At 39.2% G+C, this 27,907-nt stretch overlaps 1 long non-coding RNA gene and 1 other non-coding gene across 2 annotated transcripts; both read left to right on the forward strand.

The window, feature by feature from the left end:
• Window positions 1-290: 290 nt before the first annotated feature.
• Window positions 291-13,807, forward strand: LOC105378210 (uncharacterized). The gene is made up of 3 exons (XR_944377.3): window positions 291-355; window positions 6,792-6,884; window positions 9,977-13,807. It is a non-coding gene; the product is annotated as an uncharacterized LOC105378210 (long non-coding RNA).
• A 3,450-nt stretch (window positions 13,808-17,257) lies between these two features.
• On the forward strand, window positions 17,258-17,369 carry MIR5197 (microRNA 5197). Its single transcript, NR_049829.1, has one exon. It is a non-coding gene; the product is annotated as a microRNA 5197 (primary transcript).
• Window positions 17,370-27,907: the final 10,538 nt, after the last annotated feature.

Raw genomic sequence — 27,907 nt, forward strand, 5'->3', positions numbered from 1 at the left:
CACCCTGCTAGACATACTGGTCTTGGATTGTTATTTAATTTCAGAAAACCAGTTCTCAGTGATGAGAGCAAAGTCTTTCCTCTTGCAGGCATGATAAGGTAAGAATTGCTTGCTTTTTAATAGCTCTAGTTGCCTTGGAATGGATTTCAAAGCAACACTGGAGGGTAACCACTGGTCTGAAATAGCCCACCCCAGCCCTCCCAACCTCCTTCCCTACTTTGGTATATTTATATAGTTGTAGGTATAAGGGCATTTGTTCATACCTCAGCATTGCATTGTTCATTTTTTTCAGATGATTGGAACACCTGGAGTATAAGTGGAGTAAAGAGTACAGAAGAAATGCCTCTGGCGGAAAGTACGAGCTTCCCATAATGATCTACAATGAGTTTGGTAGAACTTCTTCCCTTTTGTCCAAATGCCTTGGACCTGCTTTAATATGCTGCTAAGTGTTCCTTTATTTCATTGTGAGGGTAGATGATGTGCCTTTGCACGTCCGTGTGCACACTCAGCATCCTCCTAAGTGCCTGGTGCCCAGTGGGTGCTCAATACATGCTTGTTGAATAAAAGAATATGACAAGTCCAAAATGTATTTTCCAACTTACTTTCTGTAGTCTTCTGTGCCTCAGATGCTAAATAGGTTGAAAAGGCATAGATTTGTTTTGTAGAACTAAAAAGACATTTTTAAAGGTTCAATATGGAATCATTAAACAAGTTCTAGTTATTCTATATTAAAAATATCTTTAAATAATACATTTTTGGATTCCAGGCATCTGAGTTTAAAACTAATTGCAAATAATCCCCATTTTCTTTAAGCTAATCCATTGTATATCTGGGTTAAAAAAATACAGAGAAATGATTTTGTTGACAAAAGACTTGGCCACTTTTCATAATGAGATTACCAGAGATAACAAAGAATGTATTTCTTAAAATCTATTTTAAAAATGCATTTTCAGTAAGCAGAGACTGTTTTTTTCTCCCCTTTGCTCATTCTTTTTCTAATGGTTGTTTCCTTCTCTCTCTCTTTTTTTTTTTTCTGAGATGGAGTCTTGCTCTGTCACCCAAGCTGGAGTGCAGTGGTGTGATCTCTGTTCACTGCAACCTCTGCCTCCTGGGTTCAAGCAATTCTCCTGCCTCAGCCTCCCAAGTAGCTGGGATTACAGGTGTATGCCACCACGCCCAGCTAATTTTTGTATTTTTAGTAGAGATGGGGTTTCACCATGTTGGTCAGGCTGGTCTTGAACTCCTGACCTCATGATCCACCCACCTCGGCCTCCCAAAGTGCTGGGATTACAGGAGTGAACCACCACACCCAGACTCCTTCTTTTATCAGTATCATCTGTTGAACTCCTACTGACTCTCAAAAGCCCAGTTCAAGTGTTTTCTCTTTTATGGAGGTGTTGTTGTTCTTCCTCCTCTCCACTGCCAGGCTGAACAAACCCCTCCCTTCTCTGCACTTTGAACAAACACATCATACTGCAACAGCTTGTATATTTTCCAATTTCCGCTCCAGACCAGGGGTCAGAAACTGTGGAGTCCTAATTAGGGAAAAGGAGTCAGGCTGGTGGGACCAGGAGAAAGGAAAAAGAGAAAGCAGATAAGCCATAAATTTGCCTTTCTCCATGATCCAGGACACGCAGCCCTCCTGTGCCCATCTTATCACCAGACATCTGCAAGTTAGCTCACTGCAACCTTGGCATTATCAGTACTGCACAAAGCCCTCTTCAGCATACACCATAAACACAATTCAATAAAATCTCCAGCAAGCCTCTGTTTCCTTGCAGTCAGCTCCTCTTCTGCTGATTTGCCCATTGCCATCTCACAACGTATTTTCATACTTTCTCTAATAAATCTGCCTTTCTTTATGTACAACTGTCTTAGGAAATTCTTTTACCCATGTGCCACTGGCCTAGACAGTCGTTGCTCCCCCGTGACAGAAGTGATGGCCCACAAGCCAAATCCAGCCTGTTGTCTTGTTTTGGGGAGAGGGGAGTCGGTGAATTAAGAATGGCTTTTACATTTTTAAATGATTGGAAAAAAAAGGAGAATGAGATTTCATGACATGTTAAAAACACTACAAGATTCAATTCTGTATCATCTGTAGTTACTTTTGTGCTATAATGGCAGAGTTGAGTTGTTGTGACAGAGACCATACGTGGACTGCGAAGCATAAGACAGTTACTGTCTGACCCTTTATAGAAAAAAACTGTGCTAACATCTGCTCTGTGGGCAGGGATCATTGTATTGTGGTCATGTAGCATGTAACATTTATTGTTACCATATGCTGAGCATTGTGCTAAATAATTCATGTGCTTTATCTTATTTAATCCCCAAGAACTCTATGAGGTAGGTGCTACTATTATTTCTGCTTACAGATGAGGAAACTGAGGCACAGAGCTGTTGAGAACCTCTCCTAAAGTTTCTAGAGTAGCAATTTGTAGATTTTTGATTCAAATCAAGCTCTTCTTGCCTCCAGTCAAGGCTCATGGCTACCACTCTATTTAGCCCCAATATTGTCCCCACCAATCACTGTTACCCAGGTGCTGAGGGCAGTACCTGGCAATGCTTGTGAAATAAATTAGTTACATTTCCTCCCTATTGTCCCCAGCTGTATTCCTGTGTTTAGGGGGAGAGACGTGGTTTCCTTCCCAAGTCAAACATAGGCCTCCATTACTTTTGCTGGGTAGAATGAGGGCCATAGCTCATAGATGGATTAATTAATCTATTAATGGTATATAGTGGACATATCTCATGAGCTAGGGTCTGTGCCTGGGCTGAAATGTAGATGTGGAGAAGCTCGAAGTCTAGAGATACATCCTTGAATATTTGAAGGAGGAGGCAGAAAGCTCTCTATGGATCCTGGGAGTCTGACTCTGGTAGGGTAGTTGAGTAGCAGACATGAGATTTCAGACAGTTCACATAGTGGCTTCATGTCAAATATTCTTCCCCTGTTTTCACATGAGAGACCTTATTAGTTTTATTTATGGTTTAAAAAATCTAACAGCTTTACTGAAGTATAATGATTATATAAAAACTGTTTATACTTAATGTATAGAATCTGATGGTTTTGAACACATGCATATACCTGTGAAAGAATCACCACAATCAAAGAAGGAAACATATCCATCACCTCCAAAAGTTTCTTCCTGTCCCTTCCCTGCTTTTGTGGAAAGAACCCCTAACTTGAGATCTGCATGTTCAAGTGCACAATACAATAGTGTGAACTATAGGCACTGTGCTGTACAGCAGGTCTCTAGAACCTCTTCATCTTGTATAAATGAAACTTTATACTCATTGTTCAATGGGTATTGATGTTTTAAGGATTTTCCCCTTAAGAGGAAGATTTAGTGATGAGTCCAGATGGCACAGTGGCTGCTGATGAAACAGTGAGGACTTTCTACTTTCTCCACAACTTCCTGCTCTTATGCTCAGGGGGGAAAGGGCAGATGGACACTCCTCGGTCCCCTGTCACTACTTGGGTATTTACTGCAACACTTGATTATGGGGATTTCTCTAACGACGAGATGTAGCATGAGGGCCAGTGGGACCGGGCTAGGAAAGGGTGGGGACATCCACTGATTAGTTATATGACCTTAAAACTTAAAATACTTCCTGTGTTTTAGTTTCTTGTGAAATGGGGATAATAATAACTACCTTGTAGGCTTGTGAGGACTAAATGGGATACATAAAAGGATCTTAGCACAGTCCCTTTGGCATTATAAGTTCTCAAATATCCGCTGCTACTGCTACTCAGGCAGCCGTTACTCCCACCATGGTTACTACAGTATCATTTTTATTAGATTCCAGAAATTGAGCCATGAAAAGAGCAGGAAATGTCAGGATAGGAACATGTGCTGAGTGTTGGAAGAACGTGCTGACCAGTAATGAATCATTATAGAAGTTTCATAGCGTGCTATTGGCTGGAATGTTCTTCCAGGCAAAATATTATCCAGAGATCCCTACCTGAGACCTTTCTGGGCTCCAGCTTATAGGAATCTGGTCAAAAATCAAGTCATTGTGCTTGAAGAATAACATACTTTCTTTCACTTAGTCCTCTCCACTATATTATAAAGTGGGTTGTTTTTGTTCATTTGAAGAAACTGATCCAACACTGGTCTGTTGCTGGCCTGTGATCACTCGGCCAGCGAGTGGCAGTCAGGATACAGGTGGTTCCCTCTCCAAAGTTCAGGCTGTTAGCTATTATGAACTCTCTTTACTACACAATATCAAGTCAAGGGTGATAGGGACTTCCTTGTATACTTTAGATTTAAAATAAAGCAAAATTATTTAGGAAGGCAGAACATACCACTTTTAGGCAAGAAAATGCCTAATCAAGAATATGAAAGAACCTGTTTTGTTTCTCTTTCTGTCCCCTCTGCAAGTAAAAGGAAAAGTAAGGTTCTACTCTTGGGTTTTTCTTCTGTATTTTACATCCCAACCTGAGGCAGAGCGAGGAACCCGGGAGAGCTATGCAAGGGTGATGCCTAAGAGATTTGTCTAAGAAGAAGCTAACAGGACTAGCAATAAGGAACATAGATAATAATGACTACTAATAATTTAATCGTAATATGCTTTTCCTTGAGTATTTACTATGTGCCAGACATTGTGCTAAATATTTTACATGTATCAGCTGATTTCATTCCTCTAACTACCCCAAGAGGCAGGCATTAATACCTCCATTTTGCAGCTGAGAAAACAGGATCAGAGAGGTTGAGAATCCTGCCCATGGTTGCATGGCTGCCTTGGGGTGGACACAGATGCGCTGAGTCCACAGCAGAGGCTCACAAGCAATGGCAATAGATATTTAGAGGCCAGGTCTGAAGGCAGTGGAGTGGTGCTCCGTCCTGCCTCTTATTGGAGTTGTTTTCATAGAGTAGGTAAAAGAAATAAGGTTACTTAATCAGACCTGAAACTTCTGGATAAATAGAGTCATGGGGTTCTCCAGCTGAAATAATCTGGCCAATGGTTCTTAAATCTGAGCATGAGCTCAAGAATTTGCATGTTATATTAATTTCTTGGTCAGAGCTACCTAATTTGTGGGACCCAGAGCTTGCACACACACACACACAAACACGCACACACACATACATGCACACACACACACCCACATGTGCGCACGCGTGCACACACACACACTCTGAAGATGCGGGTCCCTTATTCAAAAAGCAGGAAAAGTTTTCATTAAATAAGATAATAAAAGATAAAAACTGTTTCCTATTTTCCATGATCTCTTTCAACCAGTCATGACATTTTTATTTGTTTTTGTTTAATGTCCTAAGAAAAAAATAGTAAATTATTAACAAGAATTGTATTATTCATCTGTAGATTATACAACGTCAATTTTCAAGAGCATTTAACTTGTCTGAGGAGTCACTGAAAGTATGCAATTCATCCTTAATAGCTCGTACATACAGATGTATTCCATTCTTAATGGAAGAGTAGAGCTGTGCCATATAACTGATTCTGCTGTTTTTGTTTCACTCCTTGATGTGGACACATTCCAGAAAAGTTGGCTTCCATTCATTTACTGATGGGTAAGGAAATACTGACAGGACGAGGAACCATAAGTTGCCTTAGTCAAGGATTAAGGATTTCCTTCTTTGAGTGTAAGCAGTGGCTAATACACAAGTTAGAAAGAATATGATAGGCTTCTTTGGTGGTTCATGTTTCTTAGAATGCTTTCTTTTTGGGTTCAAGCAAAGTTCTGGTTCAAATGAAAAATGTGACTTCTCTGGGCTGTCAGTAACCCCTCCAGTTCCCTTTCTGCCCCCGTTTATTCAGTTATTGAAGTGACACGCTTACTTTATACTCTGAATCTCATGCATATGGGGCCACTGAAATTCTGTGCTCATGGGCCGTTGTAAATGTTATCTGTAAATGGGGCAGCAAGAACTGCAGGTACACATATTGCATATATCTCTGCTCACACTCATTCACCATGTGTCCCATGAATGTCCCAGTATCTCATTGAACTTTACCTACCAATATCAAGTTACAGGAATTTCAATGTGGTTATAGCATTGAACCAACTATGAGGCCCTTGTGGATGTCAGGGCCTTGTGTTCAGGTGATGATGATGCCACTGGTCTGGGGACCACATTATAAGAATCCTTGATTTAGATAATTTCCATAATTTTCCTGTTCACTTTGAATGTATAGATTCAAAAACAGGCAACATTTTGCTTATTATCCCAACAACAAAGGCTTTCAAAGTTTTTCCAAAAGAATCGGATTGCTTCCCAAACAAATGACTCCTACAAAATAACATTCTAATGAGTTAAAGGGCAGGAAAATAAGAAACATCTAAATTGAATTTGTTCAAAAATACATACAGTTTCCCAAAAGTAAAGGCCTGAGGCGAAATTGGAATCATGTTTTACTGAACCCAAAAGTTTGGAAAAATGCTGGAATATACTTAGCTGGACTCAAGATGCCTGAAAGCATTCCCTATTTCTAGAATTTCGTTTTGGCAGGTTAGCTTCTGACCTGAGCTTGTTCCACCAAAGGGTACAGGATTTCAATAGCACAGAAGAGAGGCTATTTCCAGAGTTAAGATTCTTATTTCTCGTTAATTTTCTCCTACTTTTTTAGGTTAATATAATTAGCTCAAGCTATTTCTGTCTTCTTAGCAAGGAAGAATTTCCCTCTTCTTCACCCACATTTATTTTTTCTTCTTTGGTATGATCCAAGGATAAAATTGGCAAATTCCAAAGCAAACTCCCTGAGTTCTGAGGCTTATCCCTTCACCTTGACAGAATATTTTCACTCTCAGCAAATGTGAACTTTTGTTGCAGATTTGAAGCAGTTTCTGTGCAAGACTGGAGCTCACACATGAAGCCAACTCTGAGGAAGTACAAAGTGTTGTCCCCAATCCTCGTAATATCCAGGTACATCACACATCTTTCAAATCCTGTCATCTGGTCCAGCTAAGGACTAGGGAGATCTAATCAGAGGTTTTTGACTTGTTTTAAGCTTATGGGTATGAAGCATTAGCAGATTTACACTTGACCAAGTTGTTTCCTCTTCTGTGGGAAAATGTTTTTCCCTCCTCTCCTTCTGTCCTTTCGGCTTTTGTCTGATTTTGCAAACACACTGCTTTCACCTCTTTTCTGATACTGTTTCCTTCCATTCTTAGGGCTCCAGTCAAGAAAATGAATGCATGATTCCTCATTCTATGGTCTTAAGTAAATATTATAGTTTTCATTGTTATGGGGTTTTTATACTTCAGTGGTTTGGAATTGACCTGAACTAAGAGGCACAAACAGCTTTGCTACTAAATTTGTGTGACCTTATGTGAACTTGGGTAATTTGCAACATTTCTGAACTTCACTTTTATTATGAATTGCACAGGAATACCATCACCTATCTGAAAACAAATGTTCTCAAACACTGGGTTATGTATTAAAATGAAGATTTCATACCCTACTCTCAGAGTTTGATTTAGTATGTGTACCAGAGACATTTGCTATTCACTAAACAGGCAAGGACTGTTTGGCAAGGCCAAGGGCTATGAGGAAAAGTGACTTCATGTAACCATTTTTCCAAAGCATTTTAGAGCTGCTACTTGATGATCTCAGCGTTCTTTTCCATTTGCCATGTGTTCCAGTTGCATACTAACAGGATGGAAACAGCCTGGATCCCTGAATCACTACTTGGAAGGGAGGTGTCATAGAAAGTCATTAGACCTATGGTGGACTTTGAGTAAAGAATGAGCTTTTAAATACTAATAAACAGATATTTGAGGGGTGAGCTTGTTTCTGTAGCATAAACTAGCTAATGACAAAACCAGCATATGATGCCACATATGGGTGTTGCTGTGTTAGGCTGTTCTTGCATTACTATAAAGAATTACCTGAGACTGTGTAATTTATTGAGTTTTAATTGGCTCATAGTTCTATAGGCTACACAAACATGGTGCCAACATCTGCTACGCTTCTGGTGAGGCTTCAGGAAGCTTACAGTCATGGTGAAGCAGGAGCAGGCATATCACATGGTGAGAACAGGAGGAAGAGAGAGAGGGTGGGGAGGTCCCAGACTTTTAAACAAGATCTCATGTGAAATAACTGAGCAAGAACTCACTCATCGCCAAGGGGATGGCACTAAGCCCTTCATGAGGGATCCATCCCCATGATCCAATGTCTCCCCACCAGGCCCCAGCTCCAACATTGGGAATCACATTTTGACATGAGATTTGGAGGAGGAAAACATCCAAACTGTATCGGCTACCATAACAAAGCCCCATTGTATGTGGCTTAGCAGTCAGGTGACAGGCAGAGGAAATTGGTAATGGAGACTAAAAACGTGGAGCTGATGCTAGTCAGTAGAAAAAAAATGTAGGAACTCTCACCTGTGATAATTTAGAAAAGGAACCACATGAGTACTGAGATGGCAGCTCAAGGGGAGTGTTTTAGAAGATATAAAGTAGTAGTATGGTTTGGCCACTATTGGCTGCAGTCAGCAAAGTACTATTTTAAAAAAGGGAGGGAGACATGCACACACTTTAGAACGAATTGGTACAAATCAAAGGCCACAGAGTCCAGAAATGCGAGGCGTTAAAAGATTGGAAAACCCACTGCATTTGAACCACAAACTGTGAGAAATGTGATATAAAATAGCCGTGAATAACAAATGCCCAGAAACAGATGATTCAAATGATTCGGGGCTAATATTGGATTTGGTGTGTTGCCATTAAGTTCAAAGGCATCCACAAAGAAATAAAGCAGTTTTGAAAGCCATATCTCAAACAAAACCTGTAGATGTTACTGGCAGATGGGACTAAATGCAAGCAAATACATGGGAAGTCTACTGAATTTTTGACAAAGTTGTATCTGTCTAAAAAGCAAGGAACTTAAAATGACCCTTGGCCCTCAAACTTCCCTGAACAGAAAGCTAGTAAGGAGGGCATATGCCACAATACCCACTTCAGAGGCAGCAAAGGACAATAATGGAAGATTAAGAACCTCCCAGAGGGTAGAGCCAGATGCTATACTGTCACCCAAAGGCAGGCTAATCTTGCATTTTAACATTTTTCTGCCATGCCCAAAGTATTGAAGAGTAGTATGAACTCAATTTGTGGTCACTGACAGAACTTCTGCCTCTCCAAGATATTAAGGAAGCCTTTTCCAAATCGTTTGAACTGCCCCGTAACCAGTTTTATTTGTATTGCACTTGAACTGCACAAGTATTTGTCTTTTTTTTTTTTTTTTTTAAGTTAAGATAAACCTTGATGCTGAGTTTGGTGGTAGTTATAGGCTGACAGGTTAGACAAGTCTTTTTGGTATGTGGGGAAAAAATGGAATCTGGAAAAGTACATTCTTCCCATCAGAATTATTGAGAAATCAGCTTGAAAAATAGCCAGGTTACTTGGGGTTCTGGAGAACTGAGGTGGGGTTGGGACAAGGGCCCCATCTTGGGTTTGCACAATGGTTGAACATGTCTCCATACAATGCAATGTGTGTTTAGTGAATGTCTAAATCAGTGGCGTTTTGGTGTAGGTGAGGGCCTTAGGTATTATTTAGCCTAGCCACCTACAATGAGACCTATTTCATCAGTGCTGTTAACACTTTGGCAGGGTACACACTCTTTCATGGATTACTTCCACTTGTTAGAAAAATTGTAAATGCACTGAGCTTAAATGTGCCTCCCTAAACCTTCTCTCCATGAGTCTAGGCCTGCACCTGTTTCAGCTCCTGTGTCTACATTTCTGAAATTAGAATCTGTCATCACTAAGTAGAAGAGCAGTCAGGAGGAGACCAAGTAGAAGGCAGTCACTGCCTAGAGAATCAGAGCAGTCTCCCCTTAGCCTGTTTCAGAGCTGTGTCCTCATTGTTCAAACAGTCCAATAGCCGAGGAGGAATTTCATAATAGCGGATCTCCTTTGCTTGCTTTTCTTGGATGCTCTAAAGAAGACTCATGTATTAGAGTAACCCTGCTTAAAATTCCCTTTTTCTCACCATTCCTCTCCCCTTGCTTACTGCAGCTTCTTTGGCAGCTTGCTCTGCCCAAAAGAAGATAGGAGACAGACAGACAGACAAACACACAGGCATACACACAGATGCGCAGATGGACAGACAATAAACTTTTCCTGGGGATGTGAAGGTAAGCAAACCAACAAAGTAAAGATTTATTTAAAATGGCCCCCATAAAGAAAGTAGAATTTATGATGTGATACTATTATGTAAAAGTATAAAAATTACTGAAAAAGTGGCCCATAAATATGAAAAGAACAAAAATAAAATTTGCTCCATTCCCTCAAGCCTGGCCAAAGCCTATTTTCACCTCTTTTGCTCAATTTTCTCCCAGTTCTGAATATAAAAGCCCAGAAAATCAGGGAGAGAAGCTCTTTGGAGCTTATCAGGGGTGGGAAGAGAAACTGAGTGGGCAGAACAAGAATTGTTTTGAGAGTGTAGGGAATGAGTGGGAACACCTCCTGCCTTTTGTCTATCACATGAGTGGAAGCACTTAAGGACAGCACAGAATCACACTTTATGTGTATCACAGCCTTAGAGAGATTGTGGCAGGTGTTGTACTGTTTCTCAGTTGAACACTTTGAAGCAGAGTTCATTTGTATATTCATGTATCCATCCAAATAGTTTTGAGTGCAAGGCACTGTCCCTGTATGTTATTGGTGGTCACCAATTACATGGCAGTTCTTTGGCTGGTTAATAACACCTTTATCTCTACTATAAAGATGATGATGATGATGTGTAGTGTGTGTTCAATTCTGTATTAGACATTGTAAGTTTCAAATATATATACACATATATACTTTGTGACTGGAGAGCCCTAAATAAGAGGGAATACAGGAGGAGAAACTTTAAGAAACAGAAGTTGGGTTCTGGGGAGTGGTACATGGTTCTAACATTTCAGTGAGAAACAACTAAAAGTACTGTAAGAATTTTATCAAGGATCTATGAAGTTTAATACATCCCTACAGCTAAACTCTCTGAATCTCTACCAAAAGCTCAATTTGTTGGACAGTCACTGTTTGTTGAGGACCCCTATCTTACATATCTTTCATTTCCTTCCTAATCCTCTCCTAGCCTAATGTGAGCAGATGCTTACTTGCTGTAGAACTTCAGAGCTACAGGTGGCTTTAAACACCAACACAGACAAACCCCTGAATTGTAGATGAAAATTCAGGAACCTGTCTGGACCTTCAGAATAGTTTCCTGATTGACTGTTCAGCCTCTAGCTCCCCAGGTGGTATGTAGCCCCTATATCCCTTCTAGCTTGGCTCATGTGTGTTCATCTGTCAAGTTTCAGGTGGGTGGCCCTAAATGAACTGACTCCCTCCTGAGGCCCAATCAAAGTTAGGTCTCCCTTCTAATTCTCCATCAAAGCACTCCTTGCATAGCATTTGCCACCACTTAAAATTAAACTTTAATTTTTGTGACTATTTTATAACATCTATCTTCTAACCAAGCTGTGAGTGCCATGAAAGCGAGAATTAGTCTGTTAATTCATCACCACATCGCCAGTGCCTAGCATAGCCCCAGCACAAAAGAGCTTGGTGAATATTTGTTGAGTAAATAAGTGGTTGGAAGGCACACACCCGAGCTGTCTTTGTACAACACAAATCTGTTTGTCTTTCTCCTGCCTAAATTCCTTCTTTAGTTACTCACTTTTTAACAGTAAAGAAAAACATGTTTTAGCCTGATTAAAAAGAGCTACCACAATTTGGCTTTTTGTCTAAGCTCCTCAGGTCCCTTCAGACCTCCAAGCCTTTGCATATGCTGTACCCTCAGAGAAATGCCCTGCCTGCTGTTTCTGCCCAAGTGGGTAAGCACCTTCCCTTCCATCACCTTCTTGGTGAAGCCCAGACTCTCCAAGAAAGGGCTAGTTGGTTGGTTCTTAATGTTTCCACAGTGCTTTGTCAGTATTTCTGTGAGAGTAGAAGGGTGGCATACTTTCTTTCCCAAACTTGTCCCTGAATTCCTTCCACTTCCCCCCAAGGCTGTTGTGAATAAAGGAGTGGCCGAGGGTGACACGCAGCCAATGGTTGGTCCACCAGCTGCCTCTGGCAGCTCCTTGTTGCTGTCTCTCCTCCCAGATCTGTCTCCTTTTATTTTCCTGGTCTTTCTTGTGATTTCCCTCTTTGTCTTTTGCAGGGTCCTCATTCCCAAATTTCTCTCCTATTATGTTAAGTGCACTGATATTGCTGTTTTTGTTTCTCCTTTGAGAAATATGATGCCTGGGAAGAGGCAGCAGCTCACATTGCACACCTAAATAGTTCCAGCAAGGCATTTTCCTGAATACAAAGCTTTTTCTCCTGAGGTGGATTCTGCTTTCCCCTAGCCTGCAAAAAGAAGGCAGTCAAGTTTCTGGCTTTAAATGGTAACTTTTCTTTCCTCTTTTAGATGCTTTAGAACCTAAGCAGAAACAAGTGTCTTTTATAAAGCCACTTCACTTTGACATCTCAGATTCTCAGCAGGCTTGGCAACAGTGGCTTGCCCATTCATCTCTGGGACCACTTTTGAAGCCAACTCTGTGAAGAGCTGTATGAACTCTATGAGGCTCTGTAAAGAAAGGCATCATTAGGAAGGAGATGTTCTTAGCAATGGCTCTGCAAAGTTTAAACTCCAGTTTCCTCATTCTGTATTCAGAACAATTGCTCTTAAAGTATTCGCTAAGGACAAGCATTTTCTTACTCCCATACTCAACAACATGGGAAAACATGGGAAAAAACCAAGCCCTCCTAATGAAGACCAAGCAGCTGGACCTGCATTGCTCTAGTGTTACCTCTGTTTGGGGTTTCCTCTATTGCTGGGAGGCCAGACACTTAGTTGATTAACTTTGTACTTAATGAATAGGGTTGTCATTTTTCCAGCTGTTTCTAGGAGAAACTGAAACAGGATTGGAGATTTTGAAAATTTGTCACCTCCCCCCACCACCAAAAAAATCCCAATAAACTTGTCTGTGGCCTCTTTTTATCATTTCCATCCTTTCTTTTGTGAAGTCCAAGGGATATGAAGCAGATGGAAAAGAGGATAGGCACAGAGAACGTGTGCACAGATATAATATGGGTAAATTCTACTAACCAAACAAGCAAAAACCAAGCTTTAATTAATTCAGTTACATTTAGATCTAGTGCTTTTTTACTGAAACAGAGCCACTGAGAAAATATGACATGATAACACTTAGTAAAACCTCTGAACACATGAAAGTCCTTAAAACAGGATTAGCAATGGATAATACTACCTTACATTTATATAACACTTGGCATATTTCAAAAATGTTTCATGACCAGTGAAAGACTGAATGTCACATTATTTGGGAAAAGAAAAAAGGGAGGATGTTTCTATTACAATTTATGGATAAAGAAGTAGTTTTGGGGTCCAAGGTCATATGATAACTTAAATAAGAAGACCCTCTCTGTGGCAATTAGCATTATTTTAAAAATTGTCAACAGATACTAGAGAGCTTTTTTTTGAATTAATCTATCTTACATTCTATCCCGATAAATAAGGAAAAACAAATCATTTGAAGAAGAGAAAAAAAATTTCTGTTTCCCTTGAAATGCATTAAGTGTAACTGTAGTCATGAGAATCTGAAGATGCAAAATCTGAAATTAGCCAATATTAGAAACTCTGAGTACAAACTTAAATTGATAAGACTTAAACAGTGAAATACACTTTTTGTGTACTTTTAGATTAGTATGCCAATTTTGATCTGCATCAAATGATCGACATTTATGTTGCATTTACACATACATTTACAAACACTATTCTATTTAATCTCATTTTTTTTTTGTAACTGACAAATTTGCTTTTATGGAAAGAGACTTCTGGAAGACAAAAAAAAAAAAAAAGGATCCAGAGGAACCCACAAAACACCTTTACACAAAGTCTAAGACCACAAAAAGGCCTTACAAAAGACCCTTATTACCCAATTCAGGGCATGGGCAAGGATGTATAGGAAGACATACTTAGCTATGAAGACAAAGTGTTTCAAATGAATGGTTATAGTAATCCATGATTAGCTATTGGGTAAAACTTAGGCCCACTTAATTATAGATGGATAAGGGGATATGTACATTTCAGCATTCTATATATGACTCGGAGATTTATGAGAAACCAATTCCCCAAGCTTTTAATATTAGTGAACAATAGCTATCATATACCTATATCAGTCACTCATGCACACATTTACCCCATCCCAACCACAAAAAGACATTTTTTCATTTATCCTCTCAACTTGAATTCTATCTAAAATCCCTTGGTACCAGAGGTTGAAAGCATCAGGTACTAAGTCATCCTCCTTGCTAAAATTAAGCTGTCTCTGTATACACAAATGGTGACAGCTGAAATGCACTCTGGGTCTCTGCTAATAGATCCTCCATTTAGATCTTGGACAACTGAAGGCAGGGCATGTTGACCAGGGATCTTTCGGCTCTGGAATCTCCTGTCTGTCCTGGTCTATCAAAGCTCCACTTGCCACCTTTCTGGGCTTGGTGCCAACCTTGTATTTTTAGACAAATAGAGTAGTACTCTGAAGTTGGAATTCTAAAAGTGTGTCTTTTTTCTTAAAAAATTGCTTTATTCAGAGCTGGTACTAGTTGTTCTCAATCATTTAATGTATTTTATCACCTTAAACTAATTATTTATTTAATGGATTTCTCCAATTTTTAAAATTATGCCTATTGCAACATGCTCTGGGCATGAGTACAGAAAATGAACACATTAATTATAATAAAACATTCAAGGGCTGAAACAAATGAAAAGAAGAGAGTTAACACAGGCTACTCAACATCTGCCATACACATATATACATATAGTACCTCTTTCCCATCCAAAATGCACCTCTATAGTCTCTAATACCTGCCTGTTGGGAGCTGGCTCTGCTTGAAACACTTTGGTGAGAACAGGCAAGAAAATGATGGCGTCGTGGTAGTGTTCTCGCATTCTCTTCACAGCATTGGCTGCCGCCTCTGCTACCCTCTGAAATGCCTGTATATCACCTCTCAGAACATTTTTAGTTTCACACCACAAATAAGACGAACATTAATTATAGGTTGGAAAAGGGACTGGAATGCTGTGGCGGCACATTCCATTTTAATAGAAAGGGTCTGAGGGAATGTGCTGTGCACCTCCAAGCTTGCTCTTATTGTTGAGTACTCCTTTTCTTTTCCCATGTTATTTTTTTCTTAGCTTTTGTTATTACTTTTAATTTATGCCACTTTAAGATCTTAAAATTCTGTGAGTGAGTATGAAGATAACATATTGTATGAAAAGGAATATATTTTAAAATATGTTTTTGACACATTAGAACCTTAATTGTAATCCAATTTGATGGAGCAAGGATCAAACTTCTTGACCCATGATTTGATCAGCCAAGTGGTTTATCTGGGAAGACTTGCTTTAGATATAAAAGGTGAACATTTCCCTCTTAGACTTACATCCCTTATTTCCAACTTGCTATTTAATTTGGATAAAGTTCTTGGTTATTTTACATGTGCTGTTGAATATCTTCAAAACCAAATGGGTTCACTTTCAAAATAGTAAAATGTAAATTTGTTCTCTTAACACTCAGCCTCACAACATTCATACTGTAACATTTTATGTTATTTAATATGGCTTTTAAAACTTACATTAGTAATGTGCTAATGAGACCTTACAGGCTTTAATTCATTACAGAAGATGCAATAAAGACTAATATGAGTAGAGCTTCCTAGGCAACCAGGAATCAGATTTTTTTCTAATGTAAGAAAACTGGTCAATTTTCTACTCTATTGATGTTTGCCATTACAGTAATGAAGCAGGTTACATTTTCTTTGTAATAAGATGATTAATTTGGTTATTGACTTTCTGTTTCAATTTCATGTTTCATTTAAATGATTTGAAAATACAGGTTCTGTATTTTTCCACTACATGCTTGGGTCAGATGTAAAACATTTATTCTATTTGGTTCCCAACTTTAATATCGGAGAGGAATTTTTTTGTTTTTTTCATACTTAGAAGCCATTACACAGATAAAATTATCAATTGAGATTAATAGCATAGAATGTCACCCAATACAAAGGGAACTGGGTATTCATCTCAAAACTTGAATTTGAATGTGGAATCATACAGATAGAAAAATTCTGAGACAGCAGAAGAACAAAAAGTCATCATCTTTTTGTGTGAGTCACTTTCTCCTGAGACCATACCCTACATTTTGGAGGCAGATTGTTTTTTTCAAGCCAGTTACTTTATAGAGATGGGAGAGTGTAGAACTTCAAAATGCCAATGCACATGACCTTCTGATTATATGGACTTGTATAGTTTTCTGAATGTAGGTCTTATACTTCCATAAATTGATGGTTCCTCGAGAACAGATGGCATATTTTATACATCTTTGTATGATACCTAGCAAAGAGCCCTGCACAAAGTAGGTGAATAACAAATGTCTCTGTTAAATAAAGTACCATGAGAAGCATAGATGAGAGAGAGGTAAGGAATGAGGTAAGAGGTTCCAAGGACATGTCTATAAGTAGGTACTTATATTTGTTGTGTACTTTATTTTTATTGAAAGACCCTCTCTAAATCCAAATAGTCATCTACTCAGGTCTGTGGGATACAACAATTCCCCGATTACTTGGCTTAACATTCCTTCCTGCAGAGCCACTATAGGGGTAAATCAGGGATGGTCAAGAGGATTCATTCCTTATACCAACCAGTTATGTAGAATTGGTGGTGATCCCTTGGGCTGCAGTATGGAGAAAGCAGCTCAGACTATTCCTGAGCCCAGTGAAAAAGAGGACAAGATGGCCATCTATGAGCTGGATAATCAAGACAGTCCTGTCTGCTTGGTAGCACGACCCTTCTCCAAGATTTGCCCCTCATCCTTCTTTCAAAGCCCAGATCAAATTCTGCCTCTTCAAGATGGCTTTTCAGATCCCCACCTTCAAGCTAGCACCCTCCCTTTCCTGCTTGTATAGCAAACTATTCTAGCCTTTATTCTCATATTTGTCATAGTCTCCTCATCCATCTATTTCTCTCTACCTACCTAGTTATTCATGTCAATTCCACTAGAGTAGTTTCTCGTGGGGAGGCAGGGATAATCTCTTTCACTTTTCTGTCTCCTATGTGCCCAGTATAAATGGGCTTTACTTATAGGATACGCTTCATAAATGACAATGAAGGAAACTGAACAGCAGACTGATTGATGGAAGGTCACCCAACAGATCATTACAGTGATAAGAGAAAACTGATGGTATGTTAGAGAAGTAGAATGTTCTGTCACTGCAGATTGACCCTGATCTACAGCTAGGGAAGAACTGTATGGGATTCCACAGACAATGAGTATCAATGGCACAAACTCATTCTTGAATTTTTGCCAGTTCAAGAAGAGACTGAGTCATCGAATGCTCTAAATGTCACTTCACCTCATGTTCTGTCAACACAGAGGGTAACTCAGAGTGGCCAGTTCCACTCAACCATCCAAGAAAACAAAACAAGAAAAGCAGACATTAAAAGAGGGCAGTGTTCTGCACTTCACAGGTCTGTGACCTTGGCCAAATTACTTAACCTCTGTAAGCCTTAATTTCTTCTTCCTGTGTAACATGGAGATGATGGTATCTACTTACAGGCAAGAGTTGAGATAATATATGCAAAATTCTTGGCATGGTAGAATATTAATTGAACTATGAAGATGATTGTATCCACTATTCCCTTTTCCCTTCTTGGCTATTTCATTTCCATTCATGTTACTTTGTTTTATATATACACTGCTTTACTGTGTATGAGAAAAATGACTGTCCACTGGTAGAAATATAGCCTGAGGTTTTTTTTGTTTTTAATTCTCTCTCTCTCTTTTTTTTTTTTTTTTTTTTTGAGATAGAGTCTCACTGGAGTGCAGTGGTATAATCTTGGCTCACTGCAACCTCTGCCTCCCGGGTTCAAGTGATCCTCCCACCTCAGCCTCCCAAGTAGCTAATACTACATGTGTGTACCACCATGCCTGGCTAATTTTTTGTATGTTCAGTAGAGACAGGGTTTTACCATGTTTCCCAGGCTTGTCTGGAACTCCTGACCTCGGGTAATCCACCTGGCTTGGCCTCCCATGGTGCTGGGATTACAGGCACAAGCCACCGTGCTGGGCCTTTTTTAAATTATCTAACCCTAGCCCCTGAATTTTTAAAACCACCATGGAACATCACTGGAATGAAAATGGAGACCATGTGACTTCTTCAGCTTTCCAAAGAAAACAGGTTTACTGATTATACGCAGCTAGAATGGTTGGCATAATTGTTATGAATGACAAACCCTTCAATTCATTGATGTGTATGAGTCAGTGATGTTGGGATAAATGTCTTTGGATACACATTACACAGTGCTCCCAGATGTTTATATTCCTTCCCACTCCCTAACCTAATCCTAAAATATTAGCTCTCTAGACAAGAGCATAAACTGAAAACTCATATTTGCTCTTAGGACTCTTTACAATCATTTTCACATGTGATTATCTTGGTGTGTACATAGAGTGGCCATCTTTGTTTACAATGAAGACGCGAAAGCCCAAAGGTTGGCTAATGTAACCATGGAAACCAAGCTAATAAATGGTCAAATCTGTACCAAGAATAATTCTAGAGACTTCAGTTGCTTCAGAGATGGATGAGGTAGGAGTTTTTCTCAGAGGGATGCAGGTCTGTCTGTGGTCGCTTAGTTGGGTTGATTCCCACATAGTATTAATGAGCATATGGAAAGATAACAAAAGCAGCTAACACTTATTGAATACTAAAGTCTGAAGTAGCGTGCCAAGTACTTTCAGGCATTATCTCTAATCCTTATCACAAGTATATGAGGTAGGTACTATTATTAGACCCACTTTCTAAATGAGAAAATAAGCTTGGACTAGTAAGTAATTTGTTTAAGGTCATTCAACTAACAAGTGGCAAAGGATAAAAGTTAAATTTAAGTTTACCTGACTCCCAAGTTCATATTCTTTTTTTTTGAGATGAAGTTTTGCTCTGTTACCCAGGCTGGAGTGCAGTGGTGCAATCTCAGCTCACTGGAACCTCCGCCCCCCGAGTTCAAGTGATTCTCCTGTCTCAGCCTCTTGAGTAGCTGGGATTACAGGTGCATGCCACCATGCCCGGCTAATTTTTGTATTTTTAGTAGAGACAGGCTTTCACCATGTTGATCAGGCTGGTCTCGAACTCCTGACCTCGTGATCCACCTGCCCCAGCTTCCCAAAGGCGTGAGCCACCGCGCCCATCCCCAAGTTCATATTCTTAACTAACACAGACATTGCTTCTATCTCTTAGTCACCTAACATTGACTCTTTCTGTTTCATGACCAGATCTTATACTCTGATTTTTCCCCTGCTTTTGAAGAAATAAAGGTGGGAGGCAGTGGAATGGGGAAGACAGGGAGAGGAAGAGGTTGGGGAGGGAGGGATGGCTCATTCAGTGATTGTGTGCCATCTATATTCATTCATTCCTACTATGTGCCAGGCATCACACTAGATGCCAGGTCTCAGCTGTGATAAAAAATAACTTTCTTGTTCTTATGAGGCTAAATGCCCCAGGGTCCTACACCCACTTCTCCTAGTCAGTCAAATGTGTGTGGGCTTTTGAGGGGACAAGGGTGCCATGCTGTGGTATCACCCAAAGCTTTCTCTAGATAAGTGGATGTGAGAAAACCCAACAGCTGAGAGCAGCTCAGAGAATGTTTATGGAAATATGTAACTGTTTCTCTTAAAGCCAATCCTGAGTCCCCTGTTTTGACTTTGGGTACGTATAATGTACTACATACTCCCTTCCCTCTGTGTGAAGCAGATCATATTGCAGCCCTGAAGTTATGTGTGGCTGTAGTGAAGCAGCAGGCATAACACTCTGCTGTTGGCTGGTAACTGTTTCCAATAACAGACAAGCTGCATCAATGCAGGGTTTGGAATGCAACGTAGGACATAGCTAGGGGCCTCCTTGTTTTCTGTCACTAGGGTGGAGGGGGCCCTAAGGCAGGGCCTGGGTGGGCCTCTCTTCCTAATAACTCTTCTAATGAATCTCATAGCTGTCCTGGGAATTAGTTCTACCTTCTTCCTATCCATGGTAGGATTGATTTCCTTAATAGCCAGTGACTGCCTGTCATTAAGAGCTCTGGGACAGGGAAGAATGGGGACAACCACAGACCTCCTCCCTGCAAAATATGTTCAGTGATTGTGACTCACTGCATCATCTGGCCCCATAGAGCAATTTTCCAAATATTTCTCCTCAACATCTCTTTCCATCAAACTAAAATGTCAATTTTTTTTTAAAGCTCTGATTAAAGGATAAACAGTTTCATAATGGGATTTGAAAGCCTGGGCAATCATATCATTAAAAAAAAATTGGCTGCCAAGCAGCTTGCTCAAATGACACCAGGCACATTGCCTAGTGAACTTTAGGTGAATAGGCGATGGAGTCTGTCTGGGCCTGATTTGCAGAGACTTCTTAAAGAAGGGAATCTGCTGCAGGCATGCAAACTACAGCAAGACTGAGCTGTGCATGGCTAGTTTTAGGGAAGGCTCCAGCTTGGGGAGCTTGGAAGGTGGTCTTTATCAGCCTGCCAAGATATCTGTGTGGAATCACGCCCACCATTTCTTCTCCCAAAGAGACAGATGAACAGACTCCACTATGACCAATGCAATATGGTGAACAGATGTTTGCCTCACACAGCTGAAGTGAGCTGGCTTTCCAGAGATTTAAAGGAAGGAGAAGGTGTCTTGGGAACAGTGTTCCCAATATTATGATCCCAATCATAACTCATTGCTACCACTCCAGGATAGGGGGGCAGGGGCGGAATATAGTTCTGTGTCATCCACCAGTGGCTCCTCCGGGTCAAAATCCAGATCCAAGAGAATGTAATTCATGAAGCGATATTTACTAGATAGCTTCACCTGGGCTGACTGTGACATCACTAGCATGTTTAACCCTTCATTTACATTTACTTATCCACACTCTACCCTGACTCATATCCTTTGTTTCCATAATAAACTTTTAGCAACTATTGACATTCATCTTTCCCTGAGCTCACCTTTTTCCTGAATTGACCCCAACAACCTGTGAGACGGCCAAAGGCTTTTGCCTAGTCTTTGAGTCAGCTGAATACACAGATGCCTGAACCTATGCCAGTGCATCTTTATCATATTTGTAGTCCACCTGCTCTTTGTTTATCAGCTGTCTGTACACACATAAGATAACTCTGCATTCTCCTTACTTGAGTTGCATCAGTCAGTAGTGTCTTTTGTTACTGCCTAGGGTGAGCAAAGAACATTACCTATAGTGAATGAGGAACACCTTTGTTCATGCCACAAAATCCATTTTGTCTTTTTTAAGAATGCACCTCACTTTAAGTAAACTTAATATATGAAAATTTAGATTCCAGTAAGAAAATTCAAGTTTCACATAGCTTTTCAGGACCTCACTTGGCTACACAGAGCAGTGATTCTCAAGGAGGTTGATTACACCTCCTCAGAGATGCTTTAAAAATTTGTGGGCTGGGCACGGTGGCTCACGCCTGTAATCCCAGCACTTTGGGAGGCCGACATGGGCGGATCACGAGGTCAGGAGATCGAGACCATCCTGGCTAACATGGTGAAACCCCGTCTCTACTAAAAATACAAAAAAATTAGCTGGGTGTCGTGGTGGGCAACTGTAGTCCCAGCTACTCAGGAGGCTGAGACAGGAGAATGGCATGAACCCAGGAGGCAGAGCTTGCAGTGAGCCGAGATCATGCTGCTGCACTCCAGCCTGGGCAACAGAGCAAGACTCCGTCTCAAAAAAAAAGAAAAAAATTGTGGTGGCATTTTTGCTAGTCTGAATGATTGAAGTGATGTGACTGGCATTTAGTGAGTGGGCCTCAGGGAGGCTAGATAGGATAGTTTTATACAACAAAGAACTGTCCCAGCAGGCATCCTAGAGTCTCAAACTTAACTCTTTCAGACATAATAAAAAATATTGTATACAGGTTTAATATAGTCTAAATTTTTCAGGAATGCAACTACTTTATAAATCAAAGGAGATTGTATTTGATTTGTTTGGAACTTTACCAAGAGGTTTTCATCATTTGGGGGAAAAAAAATCACATCATGGACAGCAATGCAATAAGAGGTTTTCAAGTGTCCAATGTAACACACCTGCATCCATCTGCATTGGGCTGTGCATTCATGGTAATACTATTAGTATTAGTAATAGCAATATCCATGGTAATAAACTGTGTCTTTTTTTTTTTTTTTTTTTGAGATGGAGTCTTGCTCTGTCACCCAGGCTGAAGTGCAGTGGCGTGATCTCAGCTCACTGCAACCTCCACCTCCCAGGTTCAAGCGATTTTCCTGCCTCAGTCTCCCAAGTAGTTGGGATTACAGGTGCATGCCACCACACCCGGCTAATTTTTGTATTTTTAGTAGAGACAGGGTTTCACCATCTTGGCCAAGCTGGCTTTGAACTCCTGACCTCATGATCCACCCGCCTTGGCCTCCCAAAGTGTTGGGATTACAGGCATGAGCCACCGTGCCCAACCTAAACTGTGTCTTTTAAAAACTGTCTTCTAGTGTTGTCATGCCTGAGGATTTTACTGATGAAATGTGTTATTTTATTACAAATTACTTTTATCTCTCTTTCATATTATATATAGAGTACTTATTTTAAAAATTTTGTATTGGTTATATAATCTATAAATTTCTGTGTAGGATTGTAAAGAAACTGTTATTACCTTTTATATATACAAAGAGGACTTTAGGTTTTATGGAGATGAGAACCATTGGCCTAAAGCAACATCTGTCAACTATTCAGACAGAAACATTTTCCATTTGCACAAATAGAAGTGATTTCCTCTGTGCTAGATGAAAACAGTGGGGCCAAGATTTTCAACTTGTGTTATGGAAAGTCTGGAAAATGTGCTCTATTCAACAGGACTTTAATTTAGTCCGCCACTGATCAAACAATTCCTTTCTATGCCTAGCTTATTTTCATTCCAATATTTATTGATTCTATCACTGTGCTGGATATTGCAAGGATTAAACAACTCAGGGCCCTGACTATCTGGAAGCATAGACTGCCCTCTCTTGGAAGGCAATCTGCATGAAGAAAGGCATACTTCACAAACTTGGTACCCACAACTTTGACACCCAGGGCATCAAATGATGTTTCTTTTGATGAAAATTCTGAAATGCCCCTGAACCTTTCTTACAACACCATCAAGGTAGTTAACATGCAATGCTGGGGTTCTCTAAATCACAAATATCAGGTGGCCGATAAGGACTATATATTCTAAAAGAGAAGAGGAACGAATTGACTTAGAGGAGTAGGAGGAGGATGGGCTTTGGAGTTGGGTAGATCTGGGTTCATAGCTTGGCTCTACCACTTACTGTCTTACCTTGGGAAGGCTCAATTTCCTCCTCCCTAAAATGGTCATAATACCATCCGCATCACTAAGCTGATTTGAGGGTTAAATTAAGTCATAAACATAAAGTCATGGGTAGAACACCTGGCATATAAAAGGGACCAGACAAAATGTGTGAATCACCATCATCCCCCTTTCCTTGGGAGCTCTTAGATAAATCCTAGGACATGAGAATCAAAAGCGACCTTAAAAATGATCTAGTCAAATGCTCCACTAGACTACATAAATCTTCCTCTGTAGATTGTGAATGAAAAACTTCAAGCCTGCATGTTTTCTTCTCTTGATCAGTGTTAGCTAATTCTATTTTGGTTACCTAAATATCTTAAGAGTTGTAGAAAACAGAGATATAGATCAATGGAACAGAACAGAGCCCTCAGAAATAACGCCGCATATCTACAACTATCTGATCTTTGACAAACCTGACAAAAACAAGCAATGGGGAAAGGATTCCCTATTTGATAAATGGTGCTGGGAAAACTGGCTAGCCATATGTAGAAAGCTGAAACTGGATCCCTTCCTTACACCTTATACAAAAATTAATTCATGATGGATTAAAGACTTAAATGTTAGACCTAAAACCATAAAAACCCTAGAAGAAAACCTAGGCATTACCATTCAGGACATAGGCATGGGCAAGGACTTCATGTCTAAAACACCAAAAGCAGTGGCAACAAAAGCCAAGATTGACAAATGGGATCTAATTAAACTAAAGAGCTTCTGCACAGCAAAAGAAACTACCATCAGAGTGAACAGGCAACCTACAAAATGAGAGAAAATTTTTGCAACCTACTCATCTGACAAAGGGCTAATATCCAGAATCTACAATGAACTCAAAGAAATTTACAAGAAAAAAACAAACAACCCCATCAAAAAGTGGGCAAAGGATATGAACAGACACTTCTCAAAAGAAGACATTTATGCAGCCAAAAGACACATGAAAAAATGCTCACCATCACTGGCCATCAGAGAAATGCAAATCAAAACCACAATGAGATACCATCTCACACCAGTTAGAATGGCAATCATTAAAAAGTCAGGAAACAACAGGTGCTGGAGAGGATGTGGAGAAATAGGAACACTTTTACACTGTTGGTGAGACTGTAAACTACTTCAACCATTGTGGAAGTCAGTGTGGCGATTCCTCAGGGATCTAGAACTAGAAATACCATTTGACCCAGCCATCCCATTACTGGGTATATACCCAAAGGACTATAAATCATGCTGCTATAGACACATGCACACGTATGTTTATTGCAGCACTATTCACAATACCAAAGACTTGGAACCAACCCAAATGTCCAACAATGATAGACTGGATTAAGAAAATGTGGCACATATACACCATGGAATACTATGCAGCCATAAAAAATGATGAGTTCATGTCCTTTGTAGGACATGGATGAAATTGGAAATCATCATTCTCAGTAAACTATCCCAAGAACAAAAAAGCAAACACTGCATATTCTCACTCATAGGTGGGAATTGAACAATGAGAACACATGGACACAGGAAGGGGAACATCACACTCTGGGGACGGTTGTGGGGTAGGGGGAGCGGGGAGGGATAGCTTTAGGAGATATACCTAATGCTAAATGACAAGTTAATGGCTGCAGCACACCAGCATGGCACATGTATACATATGTAACTAACCTGCACATTGTGCACATGTACCCTAAATCTTAAAGTATAATAATAATAAAATAAAAATAAAAAAAGAGTTGTGGAAAAATATGAAAACATTCAAACTTTAATTTATTGAAATTACAATAAACTCATCCCCTCTGCAACCATCTTCCTCCATCTGCCTAACCAAATAGCATTGAGTCATGTAAACAGAGTGAGTGGCCAGCTCAGATGTGATATCTACTGTTATCCATTTCTCTTTTAATATTTGAGTGCTCAGCATGTTAAGCCAAATTGCTGCATAGAATATCCCCCAATTCTTCTGTGTATTCCAGCTTGAAGTAACAAAGAATGAAATAGAAGAAACAAATTTATTCTTTGTGTAAATACAAGATAATTTACAGTAAAATTCTTTTAAAATTCCTCAAAGTCCACCCCAAACAGATGGGTATTAGATGGTATTGAATGTGTGGGCCAAAGCAGCTTTCCTGGGATAGGTCCTTGATAGCTTTACCTCCTTCCTGAGAGAGGCCCTGCTTATAGATTATTTCCTCTTTTCCTTAATTAAATATTGTGAATTTTCTTGAGAGAATAAAAAATTCAGCATAATCGATGAGATTAGGGGTCTCTAACATTCTTCCACCTAAGCATATGGCTTGTAGGTATAGACTCTGTCTCTAATGTCATTCTACCTACAATCAATTTTCTCCCAGTAACTAGGCCTTCCTGAGAAATACAGTTATCAATAGGAAAATTTCATTGCAGAAGAGGAAAGACGTAGCATAATAAAGTGGAAGGCAGTATATATCCACAGACTGGGTTTCAAATGAGATTCTTTGACCTAATGTTTCTCTGGGAATAATTAATTCATTGGTCTCTGCATAGTTTTCTCATTTCTAAAATGGGGGTAATTTCTGCTTTACCTTTATTATAAGGTCTGTGAAAGGGCACAGTATACCACATAATGCTAAAAAAATGTAAAATGTTAAAGATAATAGAATAGGGGTGGAAAAATCCAAGATAGGGAAACATTTCCTAACCTTAGGAAAACATGAGAAATCTATGCCATTCTTGAGTGATGTCTTGTAGTCATTCTTTGAGTTAAAATTTACACATTAAAATAATAACACAGCCACTCCAACTTTCTTATGTGTACAGTTTGAGTACAACATCTTCTTTCATCCATTTACTTTCAGCCCATATCTGTCTTTATATTTAAAGCATATCTCTTACAGGCAGCATGTTGTCATGTTGCACTTATCCATTTTGAAAATCTCTGCCTTTTAATTGTTCAGTCCTTTAATGTTTAATGTAATTCTTGTTATGGTTGGTTGAATCAATGATTTTATTTTATTTTCTACTTCTCTCTTGTTTTCTATTCCTTTTTCTTTCCTTCCTATACTTTTGAATTCTTAAATAATTTTTAGAAAGATATTTTTATTGGCTTTGAAGCTGCATTTATTTGTGTTATTACTTTTGTGTGTGGCAGCCCAGGGATTACAATATACATCCTTAATTCTCTACTGTCTATATCCAGTTAGTATTTTACCACTCATGTAACTCATAGGAGACTTGTACCCATGTAGGTCCATATCCACTCTTCCTTCTTTATGCTACAGTGGTTATTTGTATCACATCTGAATACCTTATAAACCTAAGACAACATTATAATTTTCACTTTAAACATTTATATGGTTTGTAAATAAATTAAGAGAAAAAGAAAATAATTTAAAAGTAGTCTTTTGCGTTTTTCCAGATATTTCCTACTTTCAGTGCTCTTTAATATTTTCTGAGGATCTAAGTTTCCATCTGGTATCATTTCCTTTCAGAAGGATAAATTCCTTCAGCATATCTTGTAGTTCAGGTCTGCTGGTGAAAACTCACTTTAGTTTTGTTCCATGCAAAAATGTCATTATTTAGTCTTCATTTTGCGGGATATATTTGCTGGGTAATAAATTCTGGTTTGACAATTTTTTTATTGTCTCTCAGTACTTTGGAACTATTACTCCATTCTCTTTCAGCCTTCATAGTTTCTGCTTAGAAACTGACCATTAATCAGATCACTGTTTCCTTGTATAGGGCTTGTCATTTTGTATAGGATTGTATAGGATTGTCATTTTTCTCTTCCTGCTTTCAAGATTTGCTTTTTATCTTTGGATTTCAACAATGTGAGTATGATGATCTGTGGTGAGGGCTTCTTTATGTTTATTCTGCTTGGTTTTCATTTATCATAATGTACCTGTACATTTTAGTCTTTCATCAAATTTGTTATTTATTGGTCATTAATTCTTCAAGTACTTTCTCTGCTCCATTCTCTCCCTTCTCTTTTAGGATTTTATTTGCATGCATATGGACTATTTGAAATTACCTAATGGATCTCTGAGGCTTCATTTTTTAAGTCATTCTTTTTTTTTCTCTCTCTGTCCCTGTTATTCATGTTGGATAATTTCTATTGATTTATCTTCAATTTGACTTGCTCTTTTCTTTCACATCTCCATTCAACTCTTAAGACCCTCTGGTGAATTTCTTATTTCAAATATTGTGTTTTTCAGTTCTAGACTTTTCACTTGATTCTTTCTTGTTTCTGTTTCTCCAAGGAGATTTCATGTCTTTTCACTCATCATATACATTATTTAGGGTAGCATAATTGCTATGTTAAAATCTTTTAGTTTCAAAATCTGGTTCATTCTGGGGTCAGACCCAGTGGATTTTATTATCTCTTGAGAACATGCCCCACTTTCTTGGTTCTTTGTATGTTGGGAAATTTTGGATTATATTCTAAACATTAATTTATATGGAGTGAATATTAAGTAGTGGAAATTCTGGATGTTTTTACCTCCCTTTGATAAGTGTTGTTTCTTTCATTTAAGCTGCTAATTATTGTAGGAACTTAAGCTCCAAACTGTTTCTTGAGTGGCAGCTAC

This window comes from Homo sapiens, chromosome 5 (genome assembly GCF_000001405.40).
Source record: "Homo sapiens chromosome 5, GRCh38.p14 Primary Assembly".
Lineage (NCBI taxonomy): Eukaryota > Metazoa > Chordata > Mammalia > Primates > Hominidae > Homo > Homo sapiens.